We start from the raw sequence: 19,390 nt of genomic DNA on the forward strand, positions 1-19,390 counted from the left end.
TGAGATTGGAGATTACCTGTGATGGTTTGGATTTAGATTTTGCCTCCAGGTTTAGGCAATGGTAAATAGGCAGGAGTTTAATAGGAACTAAGGTTATTTGATAATTCCTGGGCCACTGCAAATAGAAAGTGTTGGCAATTTTGTCTTTTGGGCTGCCTCTGATTGAAGGCACAGGCCTGTTTCATGAAGTTCTGAAACATGAACCGGCTGTATCTGCGTCAAAGTCAGTGGTAACCAGGTTAATAGCACTGACAACCATGTTCTTTTTACAGGAAACACAAACGTGAATCACTTGTTCTTACTTTTCTTTTACAGTGGTCTCAAATAGTCAAGACCCCCTGCTGGGAGGAGCTTCTATCCTGCTCTGTGGAAGAAATGGGCATGCCAGATGCCTGGAAGATCAGAGGCTCACATTCCAGGTGGGTCACCCTGGTTCTTCTCATCAGAATCAACTAGAGAGATGGGCTCCCTCTCCATCCCTACCCACGGGCATTGGTCAGGCTGAAAGCAAAGAAAGACAATCCATTGCCCCCAGGAGAACTGGTCTTACTCTAAATCAGTGGCCTGCAAACTGTTTATGTGGATGTCCGGATAGTACATTTTTTGCCTGTGTGGGCCTTCCAGTCTGTCTTAGTTACTCAACTCTGTGATTTTTGAGCAACCATTAGACAGTATGTAAATGAATGAGCATGGCCCCATCTGGCCCTCCACCCACAGGCCATAGTTTGCTGACTCCTGCAAGAGTAAAACCCTTTATGAACTAGAGAGTTCCAGGCTTGAACATGGGTCCAGAAAATATGGGAAGGCAAACCTCACACATTTGTGGTTGTGTGCCTCCTAAGTGCTTTGTGTCACTGTTGGCTTCCAATTCCTAGGAAGGGCCTTGGGCACCAACCGTATGTTGACCCAGGGAGAAAAGGACTTTTGGGAGTGAGAGTCAGAGAATGGGTACCACGTACCCTTCAGATCCCTCAGCTTTCAGATTGACACAGCAACAGATCATAGTCTCCTAAATTCTCTGGCTTAAAGCATGGAGCCACACTTATCCTGCCAGGCTGGGTCCCCAGTTCTTAGATGAGGCTAGCAGTAGCCATGAGGAGTGGGCATGTGGCTAGTACAAGAGAAGGAATGCTAGGTGGCACTTGGTCAGCAACTTTCCAATATCATGTTTCTTAATTGTATCACCAAATGTGTATTATCGTCCTGTCTTTTTTTTTTTTTAATTATTATACTTTAAGTTTTAGGGTACATGTGCACAACATGCAGGTTTGTTACATATATACACATGTGCCATGTTGGTGTGCTGTACCCATTAACTCGTCACTTAGCATTAGGTATATATCCTAATGCTATCCCTCCCCCCTCCCCACACCCCACAACAGTCCCCGGTGTGTGATGTTCCCCTTCCTGTGTCCATGTGTTCTCATTGTTCAATTCCCACCTATGAGTGAGAACATGGGGTGTTCGGTTTTCTGTCCTTGCAATAGTTTGCTGAGAATGATGGTTTCCAGTTTCATCCATGTCCCTACAAAGGACATGAACTCATTATTTTTTAGGGCTGCATAGTATTCCATGGTGTATATGTGCCACATTTTCTTAATCCAGTCTATCATTGTTGGACATTTAGGTTGGTTCTAAGTCTTTGCTATTGTGAATAGTGCCACTATAAACATACGTGTGCATGTGTCTTTAAAGCAGCATGACTTATAATCTTTGGCTATATACCCAGTAATGGGTCAAATGGCTGGGTCAAATGGTATTTCTAGTTCTAGATCCCTTAGGAATCGCCACACTGACTTGCACAATGGTTGAACTAGTTTACAGTCCCACCAACAGTGTAAAAGTGTTCCTATTTCTCCACATCCTCTCCAGCACCTGTTGTTTCCTGACTTTTTAATGATTGCCATTCTAACTGGTGTGAGATGGTGTCTCATTGTGGTTTTGATTTGCATTTCTCTGATGGCCAGTGATGATGAGCATTTTTTCATGTGTCTTTTGGCTGCATAAATGTCTTCTTTTGAGAAGTGTCTGTTCATATCCTGTGCCCACTTTTTGATGGGGTTGTTTGTTTTTTTCTTATAAATTTGTTTGAGTTCATTGTAGATTCTGGAGGTTAGCCCTTTGTCAGATGAGTAGGTTGCGAAAATTTTCTCCCATTCTGTAGGTTGCTTGTTCACTCTGATGGTAGTTTCTTTTGCTGTGCAGAAGCTCTTTAGTTTCATTAGATCCCATTTGTGAATTTTGGCTTTTGTTGTCATTGCTTTTGGTGTTTTAGACATGAAGTCCTTGCCCATGCCTATGTCCTGAATGGTATTGCCTAGGTTTTCTTCTAGGGTTTTTATGGTTTTAGGTCTAACATTTAAGTCTTTAATCCATCTTGAATTAATTTTTGTATAAGGTGTAAGGAAGGGATCCAGTTTCAGCTTTCTACATATGGCTAGCCAGTTTTCCCAGCACCATTTATTAAGTAGGGGATCATTTCCCCATTTCTTGTTTTTGTCAGGTTTGTCAAAGATCAGATGGTTGTAGATATGCAGCATTATTTCTGAGGGCTCTGTTCTGTTCCATTGATCTATATCTCTGGTTTGGTACCAGTACCATGCTGTTTTGGTGACTGTAGCCTTGTAGTATAGTTTGAAGTCAGGTAGCGTGATGCCTCCAGCTTTGTTCTTTTGGCTTAGGATTGACTTGGCAATGCGGGCTCTTTTTTGGTTCCATATGAACTTTAAAGTAGTTTTTTCCAGTTCTGTGAAGAAAGTCATTGGTAGCTTGATGGGGATGGCATTGAATCTGTAAATTACTTTGGGCAGTATGGCCATTTTCACGATATTGATTCTTCCTACCCATGAGCATGGAATGTTCTTCCATTTGTTTGTATCCTCTTTTATTTCATTGAGCAGTGGTTTGTAGTTCTCCTTGAAGAGATCCTTCACATCCCTTGTAAGTTGGATTCCTAGGTATTTTATTCTCTTTGAAGCAATTGTGAATGGGAGTTCACTCATGATTTGGCTCTCTGTTTGTTTGTCTGTTATTCGTGTATAAGAATGCTTGTGATTTTTGTACATTGATTTTGTATCCTGAGACTTTGCTGAAGTTGCTTATCAGCTTGAGGAGATTTTGGGCTGAGACAATGGGGTTTTCTAGATATACAATCATGTCATCTGCAAACAGGGACAATTTGACTTCCTCTTTTCCTAATTGAATACCCTTTATTTCCTTCTCCTGCCTAATTTCCCTGGCCAGAACTTCCAACACTATGTTGAATAGGAGTGGTGAGAGAGGGCATCCCTGTCTTGTGCCCCTTTTCAAAGGGAATGCTTCCAGTTTTTGCCCATTCAGTATGATATTGGCTGTGGGTTTGTCATAGATAGCTCTTATTATTTTGAGATACATCCCATCAATACCTAATTTATTGGGAGTTTTTAGCATGAAGGGTTGTTGAATTTTGTCAAAGGTCTTTTCTGCATCTATTGAGATAATCATGTGGTTTTTGTCTTTGGTTCTGTTTATATGTTGAATTACATTTATTGATTTGCATATGTTGAACCAGCCTTGCATCCCAGGGATGAAGCCCACTTGATCATGGTAGATAAGCTTTTTGATGTGCTGCTGGATTAGGTTTGCCAGTATTTTATTGAGGATTTTTGCTTCAGTGTTCATCAAGGATATTGGTCTAAAGTTCTCTTTTTTTGTTGTATCTCTGCCAGGCTTTGGTATGAGGATGATGCTGGCCTCATAAAATGAGTTAGGGAGGATTCCTTCTTTTTCTATTGATTGGAATAGTTTTAGAAGGAATGGTACCAGCTCCTCTTTGTAACTCTGGTAGAATTCGACTGTGAATCCATCTGGTCCTGGACTTTTTTTGGTTGGTAAGCTATTGATTATTGCCTCAATTTCAGAGCCTGTTATTGGTCTATTCAGAGATTCAACTTCTTCCTGGTTTAGTCTTGGGAGGATGGATGTGTTTGAGGAATTTATCCATTTCTTCTAGATTTTCTAGTTTATTTGCGTAGAGGTGTTTATAGTATTCTCTGATGGTAGTTTGTATTTCTGTGGGATCGGTGGTGATATCTCCTTTATCATTTTTTATTGCATCTATGCAGTTCTTCTCTCTTTTCTTCTTTATTAGTCTTGCTAGCGGTCTATCAATTTTGTTGATCTTTTCAAAAAGCCAGCTCCTGGATTCATTAATTTTTTGAAGGATTTTTTGTGTCTCTATTTCCTTCAGTTCTGCTCTGATCTTAGTTATTTCTTGCCTTCTGCTAGCTTTTGAATGTGTTTGCTCTTGCTTCTCTAGTTCTTTTAATTGTGATGTTAGGGTGTCAATTTTAGATCTTTCCTGCTTTCTCTTGTGGGCATTTAGTGCTATAAATTTCCCTCTACACACTGCTTTGAATGTGTCCCAGAGACTCTGGTATGTTGTGTCTTTGTTCTCTTTGGTTTCAAAGCACATCTTTATTTCTGCCTTCATTTCATTATTTGCCCAGTAGTCATTCAGGAGCAAGTTGTTCAGTTTCCATGTAGTTGAGGGGTTTTGAGTGAGTTTCTTAATCCTGAGTTCTAATTTGATTGCACTGTGGTCTGAGAGACAGTTAGTTATAATTTCTGTTCTTTTACATTTGCTGAGGAGTGCTTTACTTCCAACTATGTGGTCAATTTTGGAGTAGGTGTGGTGTGGTACTGAAAAGAATGTATATTCTGTTGATTTGGGGTGGAGAGTTCTGTAGATGTCTATTCGGTCTGTTTGGTGCAGAGCTGAGTTCAATTCCTGAGTATCCTTGTTAACTTTCTGTCTCGTTGATCTGTCTAATGTTGACAGTGGGGTGTTAAAGTCTCCCATTATTATTGTTTGGGAGTCTAAGTCTTTTTGTAAGTCACTAAGGACTTGCTTTATGAATCTGGGTGCTCCTGTATTGGGTGCATATATATTTAGGATAGTTTGCTCTCCTTGTTGAATTGATCCCTTTACCATTATGTAATGGCCTTCTTTGTCTCTTTTGATCTTTGTTGGTTTAAAGTCTGTTTTCTCAGAGGCTAGGATTGCAACCCCTGCCTTTTTTTGTTTTCCATTTGCTTGGTAGATCTTCCTCCATCCCTTTATTTTGAGCCTATGTGTGTCTCTGCACGTGAGATGGATTTCCTGAATACAGCAGACTGATGGGTCTTGACTCTTTATCCAATTGGCCAGTCTGTGTCTTTTAATTGGAGCATTTAGCCCATTTACATTTAAAGTTAATATTGTTATGTGTGAATTTGATCCTGTCATTATGATGTTAGCTGGTTATTTTGCTCGTACAGTTTTTTCCTAGCCTTGATGGTCTTTACAATTTGGCATGTTTTTGCAGTGGCTGGTACCGGTTGTTCCTTTCCATGTTTAGTGCTTCCTTCAGGAGCTCTTTTAGGGCAGGTCTGGTGGTGACAAAATCTCTCAGCATTTGCCTGTCTGTAAAGTATTTTATTTCTCCTTCACTTATGAAGCTTAGTTTGGCTGGATATGAGATTCTGGGTTGAACATTCTTTTCTTTAAGAATGTTGAATATTGGTCCCCACTCTCTTCTGGCCTGTAGAGTTTCTGCTGAGAGATCAGCTGTTAGTCTGATGGGCTTCCCGAGAGATCAGCTGTTAGTCTGATGGGCTTCCCTTGTGGGTAACCCGTCCTTTCTCTCTGGCTGCCCTTAACATTTTTTCCTTCATTTCAACTTTGGTGAATCTGACAATTATGTGTCTTGGAGTTGCTCTTCTGGAGGATTTTCTTTGTGGCATTCTCTGTATTTCCTGAATTTGAATGTTGGCCTGCCTTGCTAGATTGGGGAAGTTCTCCTGGATAATATCCTGCAGAGTGTTTTCCAACTTGGTTCCATTCTCCCCGTCACGTCACTTTCAGGTACACCAATCAGATGTAGATTTGGTCTTTTCACATAGTCCCATGTTTCTTGGAGGCTTGGTCCATTTCTTTTTATTTTTTTTCTCTAAACTTCTCTTCTCGCTTCATTTCATTCATTTTGTCTTCCATCACTGATACCCTTTCTTCCAGTTGATCGCATCAGCTACTGAGGCTTGTGCATTCATCACATAGTTCTCGTGCCTTGGTTTTCAGCTCCATCAGGTCCTTTAAGGACTTCTCTGCATTGGTTATTCTAGTTATCCATTCGTCTAATTTTTTTTTCAAAGCTTTTAACTTCTTTGCCATTGGTTCGAATTTCCTCCTGTAGCTCGGAGTAGTTTGATCATCTGAAGCCTTCTTCTCTCAACTCGTCAAAGTCATTCTCTGTCCAGCTTTGTGCCATTGCTGGTGAGGAGCTGCGTTCCTTTGGAGGAGGAGAGGCACTCTGAGTTTTAGAGTTTCCAGTTTTTCTGCTCTGTTTTTTCCCCATCTTTGTGGTTTTATCTACCTTTGGTCTTCGATGATGGTGACGTACAGATGGGTTTTTGGTGTGGATGTCCTTTGTTTGTTAGTTTTCCTTCTAACAGGCAGGACCCTCAGCTGCAGGTCTGTTGGAGGTTGCTAGAGGTCCACTCCAGACCCTGTTTGCCTGGGTATCAGCAGCAGTGGCTGCAGAACAGTGGATATTGGTGAACTGCAGATGCTGCTGCCTGATCCTTCCTCTGGAAGTTTTGTCTTAGAGGAGTACCCAGCCATGTGAGGTGTCAGTCCGCCCCTACTGGGGGGTGCCTCCCAGTTAGGCTACTCAGGGGTCAGGGACCCACTTGAGGAGGCAGTCTGCCCATTCTCAGATCTCAAGCTGCGTGCTGGGAGAACCACTACTCTCTTCAAAGCTGTCAGAGAGGAACATTTAAGTCTGCGGAGGTTAGTGCTATCTTTTCATTTGTCTGTGCCCTGCCCCCAGAGTTGGAGCCTACAGAGGGAGGCAGGCAGGCCTCCTTGAGCTGTGGTGGGCTCCACCCAGATCGAGCTTCCCGGCTGCTTTGTTTGCTTAATCAAACAACTAACTGGGCCACGGCTGGCGCCCCTCCCCCAGCCTCGCTGCCGCCTTGCAGTTTGATCTTGGACTGCTGTGCTAGCAATGAGCAAGACTCTGTGGGCGTAGGACCCTCTGAGCCATGCGCGGGATATAATCTCCTTGTGTGCCGTTTGTTAAGCCCATTGGAAAAGTGCAGTCTTAGGGTGGGAGTGACCCGATTTTCCAGGTGCTGTCTGTCACTGCTTTCTTTGACTAGGAAAGGGAATTCCCTGACCCCTTGCGCTTCCCAGGTGAGGCGATGCCTTGCCCTGCTTTGGCTCGTGCATGGTGTGCTGCACCCACTGTCCGGCACTCCCCAGTGAGATGAACCCGGTACCTCAGTTGGAAATGCAGAAATCACCCGTCTTCTGCATCGCTCACGCTGGGAGCTGTGGACCGAAGCTGTTCCTATTCGGTCATCTTGGCTCCTCCCCCGTCCTGTCTTAAAGAGAAGAAATATGAGTCTCTCCTGCCTGACAGAAAGTAAGTTCCAGGCAGCAGAAGCATGACCTTGGCATTATGGCAGACAGAGAGGTGTCCTTTGCTTGTGCCTTTCCTTCAACCTGCCTGACCCCGGCTCTGCTCAGCAGTGACCCATGCTCTCTTGACCACTTGTCTCCAGCAGACCTGTGATTTGTCCACCTTGCTGCATCCTGGGCTGGTGGAACTACCCTGTTTGGGGCTTCTCCTCCAGGGGTTCACCCAAGTTTAGAAAAGCAGTAAAACAGCCACCATGCAGACCAGCCTATCCTTTTAACAAACGTCTTTGAAGCTACCATGTTCTAAAACATTTTCAGCATGTTTTGAAGCTTTTTATTATTACTATAGGGAACACTCTGAAACTAATGCTATGGTTATAAGGAACTCGGAGCCATCCCCAGTATGATTCCATTTCCCAACAAGTTCAAGAAACAGAATCCAGGCACGTAGTATATGAACAATGCCAAAAGATGCAACCGATACAGTGAAACTTCATGGTGTTAGAGACAGGAAGGAGGTTGGAAATTACCCTCTAAGTTTGTTCTTTTAGCTCATTATTTACTTTTAAAGTACTGCTTGTGCAGAACCCAAGGACAGCTGCGCATTTATTGCACATTTATATTCACTGCTTCCTGATGACATTAAATGTAAGCACCTGCAGCAGGGTATTGGTGAACTGTCCAGGGGAAGCACAAATTAGAAAAAATACAAAATACGCTTCCCTGAGCCCATGAATTTACCGTATCAGGAATATGTAAGATACATTAATTAGTTCATCAGTAGGCTCCAAGACAGACATTGCAGATGGTGGGGAAGGTGGGGGTGGGGGCAGGTGGGTGGGCAGGCACCACTGACTCAAAAGTTATTGCGTGTGGGACACTTTGCCAAACTCTGGGGCCTGTGTGGGTTGAGGCACATATGTTGGGGCCTCCATCAGGGCTGGGTGGAGGCCAGGGCAGGACACAGTGGTCTGGAGCTGAGGAGTACGACACACAACTCCACAGGAGCCTCAGAGTTTAGCACGTGTGCAGGGTAGCATGTTTGGGCAATGTGTGTCTGTCTGAGAGTCTTCTACAGCTGAGAGCCTGGGGTCCCCAAGGAAATAGGGTGATGTCAGCAGGGAAGAGCCCAAAACGCTCATCAGCCTTCAAAATTCAGCATACGCTAGGGACCTCATGATTCCAAGCAGAGAAGCTAAAAGAAATGCAGTTCACCAAGGCATGTAGTTCAGGTGCCTTCTCCCAGGACCTATGTAGCATTGAGACTTCCCTGGGGTCCTTTAAATTATGCAATTATCAAGCCTTTTTTGAAGATCTTTTTTAAAATGATTTTTCTTTTTGCATTGTCTTTTGGTTTTCAAGGAAACATAGGTTCTTTGGTGAACTGTTTTATAACTACAGCATTTGCTGTAAGGAGGTGTTCATATTCTCTTAGTGTAATAACATCAAGAAGCTGAAAGAAGTCCGAGATCTCTAGGAGGGAAATGGCTTCAGAATATGCCTCTCAGGCTACCATAGATCTGACACCCCAGAAATATTTGGAAGACAGACTGGAGTTAGATTCCATAACTCAGGCTATGTGGCCTACCTGCTGGGGCTCCTATGGCCTTCCCTACCTCCACTCCCCAAGTTGTGGCAGAGAGCCCCTTCCAAATTGTCCTCGGTCTGATTAACCTCAGTATGTTAGAAGACAGGGGGTTGTCAAAGGCCAGGATGTTCTTTGCTGTCTCTCATTGTGCTGCAGTTGTTGAAGCCTGGAGTACCAACCGGGATTTCAGACAGCTTGGATGATGTCCCTTCTGGTTCTGCAATGGGTTCTCTTATTTGATGGGTAGCTGAGAAAAAGAGAGGCAAGGGGGCTTTAGATCTTCTGGAAATCTTGATTCGTCAGAGTTGATTGACTCGTCTCTTCCCTGGAGTCAGTGACAGGCAAATTCACAATTTCACTCAATGCTCGCACTGAATAGCTAAAAAATGGCCAGTATTCTGGGCTAGAACCTGATGACAGAAAGAGATATGGAAGGAAAACAGTGTCCTACCACAAAGTAGCAAAGACACATTGCCTTGGTGTCAACACACTTATACTTAAAGCTTGGTTCTGCCATTTATAATGAAGTGACCTACTGCTAATTGTTAACTTCTCTGAGCCTCAGTTTGCTCATCCATAAAAATAATGCCTCAGTGTTGCAGTGAAGGCTTACTATAAAGTGACCAGCAGGCAAGCTAGACATAGTAAGTGGTTGGTGCAAAGTAGCTGCTGTTGGGCTGCTTTTCATTCGGTTTAAGTACTCATCTAGAACTGATGCGCTATTAGATCTATTTGACTGTCCTGTGAACAAAAGATAAATTGTTTCCTAGGAGTATTTTATTTTTCTAAGCTAAACACTTGGTGCATAGGAGCTTACCACTTGCATGTAATTTTCTTGTTTTGTATAAAATAAACTGAAAAACCAGTTCTTTTTTTGGCTGAATTTAATCATCAAACCTATTTTTAAAATGCTCTTTGTGTACTTTCTTTCCTTTTTAGAAAATTCCTTTTGGTATTTAGGAAAATGTTTAATTTTGTTCTAATGGTTACCTTTGTAGTACTCTTTATTACCTTTTTAAGAATTTTTTAACCTTTTACCATATCTTTTGGCTATTACTTATAGTGTAAATTCAATGATCTTATTCTACGTTCTTACCCACTTCTCCCATTTTAAAAATTGTACTGTTTCTATTCTGTTAGAAAATGCAATGTTTAACTACCATTCTTATACCCATATCTCCAACCTTGTGTTAGTCCTAGATCTATATATGAAATATGTAGAAGCCCACCTTCAATCCTCCTGCTGAAGTGTCTGCAGTCAGCTCTTAGTTGAATAAAGTACACTTAATTCTGCAGTGGATTCGTCAGAAAGGACACGTGGGCACAGTATTCTTGTGTTCTTTCGTCTTCAAAACTGCTTTTCTATATTGTTAACATTTGAAGAACAGCTTGGCTAGATATAAAGTTCTTGACTTGCATTTTCTCAAGCTTCTCAAAGAGCTGCTTCACTCACGTCTTGCTTTATATGTTGTTGTTGAGAAATCCAATGTCAGCCAAATCCTCTTCTCCTTTCAAGCTATTTTATGTTTCCTCCAAAAGGCCATATGGATTTTTTTCTTTCTCTTTAAAGCTTAGCAGTTCTACTAGGATATGGCTCTGATATAATAATGCCAGGTCAACTTTTATAATAATGCCAGGTCAACTTTTTCAAGTGAACCCTTTCACTTGTAGATTCAATTCCTGATTTATTTCCAGAAAGTTTTCTTGGATTATAATTTTAAATAATAGTTATATTCCATTGTTTTGCTCTCCTCGTTCAAGAACTCCAGTTGGACATCCTTGGCTGGTCTTCCACTTCGATCACTTTCCTCTGACCTTTTTTCTTTTTTTCTTTACCTCCTTTTTGCTCTCTTGTTTTCTCCTGCTTTCCTTCAATGTCTTTTGTTAAATTTCCATTTAAATTTATTCTCCCTTGGGCCTCATAATTTTGTCTACATTTCTGGTATGATTTTGCCATTTTCTTTGATATTCTTCCTATGTTCAATGACTATCATTTCATTTCTTCCTTTTCTTCTTTCTTGATCTATTTGTGTTGCTGAGTTTTATATTTCTGATTCAGTTTTATATTTCTGATTCAGTTTTATATTTCTGATTCAGTTTTATATTTCTGATGCTTTTTACGTATCTCCAAATTCTATTTTGAGGAAAATTAATTTTTGTGGGAGTATTATGTTACAGTTTTCCTCAGCTCATTGTTCCCCCCACCACACCCTGCCCCTGAGGTGAGGGAGTATTTTCTTCAGCTGAATTACCTTGGTTCACTTTTTACGACAGTTTTATTTGGATATGACTGCGGTTTTTCTGTACCTCTTCATTCTGTGGAGAGAGTTCATCGTGTGACATCAGCATTTCCTTTCAGTTCTGCCCTTTTCTGTGAAGTTTCTTTTATGGAAGATGTTGATGGTGAAGTTAGGAAGAAAAAGAAAGGGACTACTGTGTCTTTCTTCCTAGAAACATTAATTTTATCTTTTCTTTTTTCTTTCCTTTCATTGCTATTTCACCGAGGAATACCACCACTTCTCTGTATCTCATTCTCCCTAAGAAGCCGTGCTTCTCCAGGGCTGCCACTTCTGGGCCTCACTCATTTCAAATCTTTTCCCTGCAGCTGGTGGTGTGAACTGCCAAGTTCCAAATTGCGTAGAGCATTTCTTAACGTAGTTGGGCTTTCTTTTGAGAGTGTGCATACCTTATGTAAGTCCTTAATGCCCTCTACTATTTTTGATACCATTCTTTAATACTTCCCTACTTCACTTTCCATATCCATAGGCTTGAAGCAGTAAGGCAAAAGGTAGCTGTTAGAATATGATGCATTTTTCTACTTGCTGATCATTTACAACTTGTAGTATTCTCCAATTCTTAGTAATGCTAAAGCCATAATGTTATTTTCTATTTTCACTCTATTTATTTTAAGGGTTTTTAAAGTTGTATGGGGAGATTTGAAGTCAAGCAGCTGCCATCATTTTCCATTCCTGTTTGGTGTTCATTGAACTTCTTGGATTTTCATGTTGATATTTTTCATCAAATTTGGAAAAAAATTTTGACTGCATATTTTTTCAAAACTTTTTTATCTCCAATCTCTATTCTTTTTTTTTCTCAAATCTCTCTCTCCTCTTTTTCTGGGACTTTAATTACATTAATATTTGAACCCTTAATACCATTTCACAGATAACAGAGACTACCTCTCTAGCCTTTCTTCTCTTAGCTTCAGTTTGGATAGTTTCTACTATTCTGTCTTCAAGTTCACTGATCCTTTCTTTTTCAGTGTCCACTGTGCTGCTAAGCCCATCCAGTGAACTTTTTATTTGAGATATTTTATTATTATTATCATTTTCATTTCTCTACTGAGAGTATCCATTTGTTTACTCATTAGGTTTATCTTATTTAAACCTGTAAACATATGCATAATGGCTGTTTTAAAGTCTTCGTCTATTAATTCCAACATCTCTGGGTCTGTTTCTATTTTTTGTTAATTTTTTTTCCTGGACATAGGTAACATTTTGCTACTACTTCACATATCTAGTAATTTCTGATTGTGTGCTGGTTATTGTAAATTCTTGAAACTCCCTTCTCTTGGCTCCTGTGACACAATGATCTCTGGGTTTTCCTACTACTTCTTTGGGATTCTGTCCACCTTCTTTAACACTCATTATCTTCTACTTGATTTTTAAATGTCATAGATCTTCATGGCTCAATCTTATATTTGATCTTTTCTCACACTATATTTTCTCTTTAGGCAGTCTCATCTACACCCTATGCTTCAATCAATCACCACCTACACACTGATGATTCAAAATCATATAAATTCAGATGAGACCTCTTCTTTGACTAACTTCAGACTAATTGCTACTTGTTTGTTTCAATAACACATCTATCTCACTATGTCCAGAACCAATATTGTGATTTCTCTGGCCTGCCTGCATGTGCAAACACACACACACACACCCACAATATGAAATAGGAAACTTCTTCTAGTGATATAAATTTCAGTGAATTACACCACCATCACTTCAATTATGCATGTTTGAAATACAGACACTTTGACACCTCTTCCTTCCTCATTCCCCATATACATTCCATCTTGCAATTTTATTGATTTTATACTTCCACTTGTCTCCATTGCCATCTCTCTCTGCCACTATCCAGTTTTTAGCTCCCACCACCTCTCACTTGCATTATGAAATAGCTCCAAATTTATTGTGCACCTCTAATCTTTCCCTGCTATAATCCATTCTCCAAATCATTGCCAGCATTACATTTTAGAAATGCAAATCTAATAATGCAAATCTAATTCATTCTCTCTCTGTATTTGTCTCTCTCTCTCTACATGCACACACACACACATACACACACACAGTTTTAAAGAAGGCTAAATTGTTGTCCATTGCTTTTTGGATGAAAACAAAAATCATTAACATGGGCTGATCCCTACCTGACTCATGTTACCATGCTTTCCTTGCTCTCTCCTATCCCTCTCTGTTGTCTTGGTCCTATATACTGTTCTGGATTTCCTGGAGTGTATCTGCCTCTGGTCTTTGCCTGTGCTATTCCATCTGTATTAACTGCTCTTTTCTCTCCTCATCACCTCCTCCAAACCTGAAATCAATTGTCCTTTTCTTGGGGGAAGCCTTCCCTGAATTCCTTGGCCAGTCAATCTCACACTTATGCTCACAGTGGCACAGTGTACCTCTCATTTGTAGTCCCTATAACATTTGTAATTTCACATCTATTTCCGTGATTCTTTCATTCAGGTATGACACCCCTACTGAATTATAACTGTCATGAAATCAAGAATTGTGTCTGTTTTGGCACACTCATATTTCTAGTATCAATCATAGTGTAGATGTTTAATAAATATTTACTGAATCAGTGAATAATGAATAAAAAGTACTCTTCCATGAATCTTTCTTATACTCATGCTTAGCTCTCACTCTACCTTTCTAACAAATGGCCTAAGCAGAGGAAGATGCTAAAGGGGCTGCTAAGGCAGCAAGAAAATCAAGTAACACAGAAACAGAGTCAGTTGGTTCTTTGCACTTAGGATTCTCAGAAGAATTTTTTGCTTCTGCCTTCAAAATTAAACTGGAATATTAAAACTGATCTTTTGGTCCCTGGAAGATGAAGTACAAACCATCATCAAAAAGTATCTACTGTTGGGACTGGTGACTCACTTTGTCCTTCCCTCCTGTAAGCCATGAGAAGGAATCAGAATGATTCTGTCATCAAGAGCATCACAAATCCTGGATCTTCACCTGATTAATGCTTCACGTCTAGCACAAGCACTTTCATTTTCAAGGGATTCCATACTGTATTGTCTAGCCCCTGGCTGGGTTGGGATATAGTTATCTTGGTGGCATAGGATCAGCATGTGTAAGAGCGGGATATTATTGGGCGCTGTATTGAAAAGAGTAACCCTGGGAAGGTGAGGGTGATTATTAAGACCAACTCTGAAGCGATGACTGGTGACCAGAAATGAGTTGATGTCAGAAATTTCTACAGAGATGGTGATAGCTTATAAAGGTGAAAATCCAGTAAATAGTCTGGGGTTTAAAAACTCAAGTAAGGGATGAATCAAGGGATGATGCAGAAATTATGTGTAGTAGAAAAGGCAGATGTCAGGGGTAGAAATACATCACCGGGCAAGTAAGGCCAAGTACGTGCCCATCTGGAACACAGGGCAGAATCTCTTCAGTAAGTTGGCTTTATTGGTTTTAGTCATTTTTATCTATTGCTGATGCTCATGTGATACTTTGTTTCTTGGGTGAATTTCGGTATCTCAGACAGACACATACAAGGAGAAAGAACAGAAGTTCTTAGGTAGTTTTTTAGTAATAGAAGTTCTTAGATTTTTTTTTTTTTTTTTTTTTTTTTTAGTAAGAAAGAAAAGTGCTGGGAGAGATTGATCGTTCCTTATAAAAAGGCCTTCATTCCTCACAAAAATACAACTTTCAGTCAAGAATTTGGTCCTTTAAAAAAGAAAGAGGAAGAAAAGAAAGCATGAGCTCTATCCCTCTTTTGACTAAATACTACCACTGACTTTCCTGTTTAGAACTAAAGGCTGTCTCTTGTTCCACAGGTCAAATGCATACTTTTTAAAATGCCACTTGACCCCTTGGGTTCCCCATTCTCAGTAGAAAAACAAAATGGTCATTAATTTATTTTGACATGCAAACTCAGCTGAACATTTTTTGGTGATTCAACCCCACAGATGTAAAGTGAAAGAGTGCCAGAAAAGCAAGTGAGAGCCATGAGATTACCACAAGTCTGTGAGCACATTTTTTTCAAGGCTTACAGAATCCCAAAGCTTGCCCTTGCTTCAGGAAAAAGAACTGGTTGACACCTGAGAGGTTTTAAGCCACAAGAAGCTGAGGCCCGTTGTGAGGAGGGCAGGGACAGTGGGGCCAGGCCACACGCGACGCGTCACCCACCTCCTGCCTCACCTCCCCCCACTGAGATGTCTGCTGGGTGGGAGGAGGCTTATTGCCAGAGAACAGTCTGGTGTTTTCTGTTCCTGCTTCAGGAAGTCCCCCTTCTCCCGCCACCCCCGCAGCTCCTCAGCCTGGAAACAACTTTTAGAGAGGAGAAGGGAAGCAAAGCTTTCAAAAGCAGATACCTGTGGGGTTTGAAGGGAGGTGCCCCTTGTTCAAGTATTTCTCCCCCAAAATTGAAAGGACACTTCAGATTCATTCATTTTAGTTTTGATGTATCTTCAGTAATTAAGAAGCCACTAAGAAAACTGACCCTGGGAAGGCAAATTCCTGAAGCTGAGTCAGATACAGCCAGCTCTTACCATACCATCTGACCCTCAGTTCCCTCTGACCTCATCTCTTCCCACCTCCTCTCTGTCTGACTCAGCAGTGAGGCCACACAGGCCTCCCTGCTGATTCGAGAATGGCTCCCACCTGAGGCCTTGGGCCCCCCTTGTTTTCGCCCCCACATACCCATCTGGCTTCCCCTTCACTGCTTCCAAGGCTCTCCTCAGAGAGCATCCTGTCAGACCAGTCTTTCCTGGACATGCTGAGTGTACCTTTCCCCTATTTCATTTTCCTTCGTGGCACCTTTTACCACCTGATATGTTCAATGGCTCTATGTTTGTTTGTAGTAAGTCTCGCCTGACTAGAATATAAGACCCATGGGAGAAGAGACTTTCTGCTCTACCCTTGGCACATACCGGGTGCTCAAAAAATATTCAAGTGCTCGCTTCGGCAGTACATGTACTAAAACTGGAACAATACAGAGAACATTAGCACGGCCCCTTCACAAGGATGACACACAAATTTATGCAGCATTCCATAATTTCGAGAAATACAAATCAAAACCACAATGAGATAACATCTCACACCAGTCAGAATGGCTATTATTAAAAAGACAGAAAATAAGAGTTGCTGGTGAGGCTGCAGAGGAAAGGGGAAAGCTTATATGCTCTTAATGGAAACACAAACTAGTTGAGCCACTGTGGAAGACAGTTTGGAGATTTCTCAAGGAACTCAAAATAGAACAACCATTAGACCCAGCAATCCCACTACTGAGTATATACCCAAAGGAAAGTAATTCATCCTATCTTAAAGACACATATGCTCCTATGTTCACTGCAGCACCATTCACAATAGCAAGGACATGGAATCAACCTAAGAGCCCATCAACAGTGGATTGGAGAGAGAAAATGAGGTACAAATACACCATGGAATACTATGCAGCCATAAAAAAGAATGAAATCATGTCCTTTCGCAACATGGATGGAGGTGGAAGGCATTATGACCTCCATAAATGACCTAATGTAAGAACCTAAAACAAAATATTGCATGTTATCACTTGTAAGTGGGGCCTAAACGTTGAAGACACATGATCACGAAGATGGGAACAATAGGCACTGGGGATCACTAGATGGGGAAGGAAGGGAGCAGGGGGCATGGGCTGGAGTGCCACCTGTTGCGTCCTATACTTATTCCCTGGGTGATGGGATCATTGGGATCCCAAGCCTCAGGGTGATGCAATTTACCCATGTAATAAACCTGCATGTGTACCCTTTAATCTATGATAAAAGTTGAAATTAAAACATAAACAAATAAAATCCTGAGTACTGTTTCAAAAAATATATTTGAGGAAAGAAGGAAGGAAAGAGGGATGGAGAGATGGAGGAAGACTAAAGGAAGGATCGTGGCCCTGAGAGAATAGAGCACAGGCCAGGGGTGAGATACAGAGTGAGATGGGAGCTGAATGGGGTCTCTGAAACTAGACATGGAAGACACCAAAAGAAACATTCCTACTTCATCTTTCCCTGTGCCTGGGATAATTTACTCCTGGATGGTAAAGATATGTCTTGGTTTCATCTGTGTTAAATAAACCTGCACGATGTTACAAGCTGGCATTGCTTCATAAGCTTGACCTTAGCTTTCAAATAGGACCTCGATCATTGCTCAATGACCAAGTCACAAAGTTGCCTAATGATATTGGCCCACAGCCATGTTATTGCAAACATGGCAATGACTGGCCAAAACCAGGTGTGCTCCTTACATTTCTGCCCGGGTGATACTCTCAGAGAGCTCCTCGCCATGAGAACTAAGTCAGTCTCCCAGTGCCAGGAGCCAGGACAATTACGGGGCTTTCCCTATTGTGTGTTCTTGCTGCTAACCAGCTCCCAGGCCTAGGCTTCTGAGAAACAGTGTAGGCACACAAGCTGCAGATCTCTCCTCCCTTTATTCTCTCTCCCCTTCCCCAAACCCACAATAGCCTCTACCATAGTGCTTATTCTTTTGACCTGTTCTGATCTGCTAGCCTAACTATTCCCCAACACCTTTAGGAAGATAGGTCTTCCCTGACCCTCAGTCTGAGGTCTAGAAGCCCTTCTGCCTTGCCTCACAGGCATCTTCCCTCCTCCCCCGTCCCCTAGACCAGTCCAACAGCAGCCCGTGCAGCCTCTGAAGTCCACTCCCAGTGCTAGCTGATGGGAACCCCATGGGCTCCTGTCTGCTATACAAATGGAACAGACTTTCTTCAGAGCCAACCCCAGCTGCCCCACTGAAGCTGGTTGCCACAGTGATTTTCAGTCTCATACCAGATTCTGATCTCTTCTCTTGCCCACCTTTGGTGCTGCAGAGTGGATCATCTTGTTTTATACTCAAGTCATCATTAAAATTTATAGAAAAAGAGAGAATTTAAAAAAAAAAACACTAAAAAATCACCTTGTACGCATATACCTCAGAAGATCTTTGGCCTAATGGTAATCTGTGACATTAAGGCAAATAACCAAAAATATGTAATTTTTCTATTTATTTCTTTGAGTGGGCTCAGTTGCAGATATATGAATCTGACCAGGGTCCTGATCACTTCCTGCTCCCAAAGACCACCCTTTGAGCCTGTAAGATCCAAAGTCAACTCAGTGGATTAATGTGCAAGTCTAGCCTGAGCCAGTAAGACATGGTTCCCTCTAAGATGCCAGGAAAGGACCTAGGGCTTCCCTGGGCTGAGCTCTTAGGTAAGCCATGGCCTGGCCTGGCCTCTTAGAGGTTGTGCAAGACCAGCCTCTGTGATCTGCGAAGGCCCTGAGTCCCAGACATCGTCTCCAACACTGACCTAGATCCAGTGCCAGCAGGACAAGAAAGTCCCCTCTGCTTTAACCTTTACATGAAAAGAAACTTTGAAATGACCAATCCACATTTTTTTTGTTTGTTTTTTTCTGCTTTCCACAGCCCTTTTCTGTCTGTAAAACCAACCTCCTCTTCTTGGCTCATCAGAACACTCATTCTATTTTATGGAATAAAGTGCTGCCCAATTGTAGAATCAAAAATACAGCAAATTAATGTTTTTTATATAAAGTTTTTGATACATAATAATTACACATATTTATGGGGTATCTGTGATATCTTGACACAGCCATAGAATGTGTAATGATCAAATCAGGGTATTTAGGATATCCATCGCCTTGAACATGTATCATTTCTTTGAGCTAGGAACATTTCAAATTTTCTCTTCTGGCTATTTTGAGATACTCAATATGTTTTTGTTAACTATAGTCACCCTACTTTGAGGCTGAATACTAGCGCTTATTCCGTCTAACTATATGTCTGTACCTATTAACCAACCTCTCTTCATCCCACACACCCTTCATAGCCTCTAGTAGCTACCATTCTTTTCTCTACCTCCATGAGATCCATCTTTTTAGCTCCCACATATGAGTAAGAATATGCAATATTTGTCTTTCGGTGCCTGGCTGATTTTACTTAACAAGATGCCCTTCAATTCCATACATGTTCCTGCAAATGATAGAATTTCATTCTTTTTTACGGCTTAATAGTATTCCATTGTGTGTGTGTGTGTGTGTGTGTGTGTGTGTGTGTATCACATTTGCTTTATCCATTCATCTG

The 19,390-nt window shown here is 41.4% G+C and overlaps 2 long non-coding RNA genes and 1 pseudogene across 3 annotated transcripts in view, besides 7 other annotated features; 2 read left to right on the forward strand and 1 right to left on the reverse strand.

Annotated features, from left to right (window-relative positions):
* The window catches only part of LOC107985871 (uncharacterized), a 62,078-nt gene that overhangs the window by 20,880 nt on the left and 21,808 nt on the right, over positions 1-19,390 (reverse strand). Inside the window, exons 1-2 of one of the 2 annotated variants that reach the window (XR_007086290.1) lie at positions 15,640-18,971; positions 7,300-9,276 (exon numbers count right to left, since the gene is read on the reverse strand). This is a non-coding gene — a long non-coding RNA (uncharacterized LOC107985871). Of the gene's footprint in view, positions 1-7,299; positions 9,277-15,639; positions 18,972-19,390 lie in introns of those variants that run through there. The other variant, XR_001739413.2, reaches the window with a different exon arrangement.
* The window catches only part of CYP1B1-AS1 (CYP1B1 antisense RNA 1), a 50,751-nt gene that overhangs the window by 91 nt on the left and 31,270 nt on the right, over positions 1-19,390 (forward strand). Inside the window, exon 2 of the long non-coding RNA NR_027252.1 lies at positions 316-419. This is a non-coding gene — a long non-coding RNA (CYP1B1 antisense RNA 1). The remainder of the gene's footprint in view (positions 1-315; positions 420-19,390) is intronic.
* Positions 15,253-16,452: an enhancer, noted in NCBI's record as "P300/CBP strongly-dependent group 1 enhancer chr2:38373590-38374789 (GRCh37/hg19 assembly coordinates)". NCBI's record gives its function as "activates an origin of replication core promoter dependent on BRD2, BRD4, P300/CBP, MED14 and CDK7 cofactors, with strong dependence on P300/CBP, by STARR-seq in HCT116 cells {active_cell/tissue: HCT116}" and the evidence as "EXISTENCE:reporter gene assay evidence [ECO:0000049][PMID:35650434]".
* Positions 15,253-16,566: a biological region, named in NCBI's record as "P300/CBP strongly-dependent group 1 enhancer GRCh37_chr2:38373590-38374789".
* Positions 15,507-15,556: an enhancer, noted in NCBI's record as "active region_15601". NCBI's record gives its function as "activates an Ori minimal core promoter by ATAC-STARR-seq in GM12878 lymphoblastoid cells {active_cell/tissue: GM12878}" and the evidence as "EXISTENCE:reporter gene assay evidence [ECO:0000049][PMID:35858748]".
* Positions 15,587-15,686: an enhancer, noted in NCBI's record as "active region_15602". NCBI's record gives its function as "activates an Ori minimal core promoter by ATAC-STARR-seq in GM12878 lymphoblastoid cells {active_cell/tissue: GM12878}" and the evidence as "EXISTENCE:reporter gene assay evidence [ECO:0000049][PMID:35858748]".
* Positions 15,758-16,566: an enhancer, noted in NCBI's record as "H3K27ac-H3K4me1 hESC enhancer chr2:38374095-38374903 (GRCh37/hg19 assembly coordinates)". NCBI's record gives its function as "activates a minimal SCP1, AML or CMV promoter by ChIP-STARR-seq in primed H9 embryonic stem cells {active_cell/tissue: H9 hESC(primed)}" and the evidence as "EXISTENCE:reporter gene assay evidence [ECO:0000049][PMID:30033119]".
* Positions 15,767-15,946: an enhancer, noted in NCBI's record as "active region_15603". NCBI's record gives its function as "activates an Ori minimal core promoter by ATAC-STARR-seq in GM12878 lymphoblastoid cells {active_cell/tissue: GM12878}" and the evidence as "EXISTENCE:reporter gene assay evidence [ECO:0000049][PMID:35858748]".
* Positions 15,977-16,066: an enhancer, noted in NCBI's record as "active region_15604". NCBI's record gives its function as "activates an Ori minimal core promoter by ATAC-STARR-seq in GM12878 lymphoblastoid cells {active_cell/tissue: GM12878}" and the evidence as "EXISTENCE:reporter gene assay evidence [ECO:0000049][PMID:35858748]".
* Positions 16,220-16,326, forward strand: RNU6-951P (RNA, U6 small nuclear 951, pseudogene; annotated as a pseudogene).

This window comes from Homo sapiens, chromosome 2, assembly GCF_000001405.40.
Source record: "Homo sapiens chromosome 2, GRCh38.p14 Primary Assembly".
In the NCBI taxonomy this organism is placed as follows: Eukaryota; Metazoa; Chordata; class Mammalia; order Primates; family Hominidae; genus Homo; species Homo sapiens.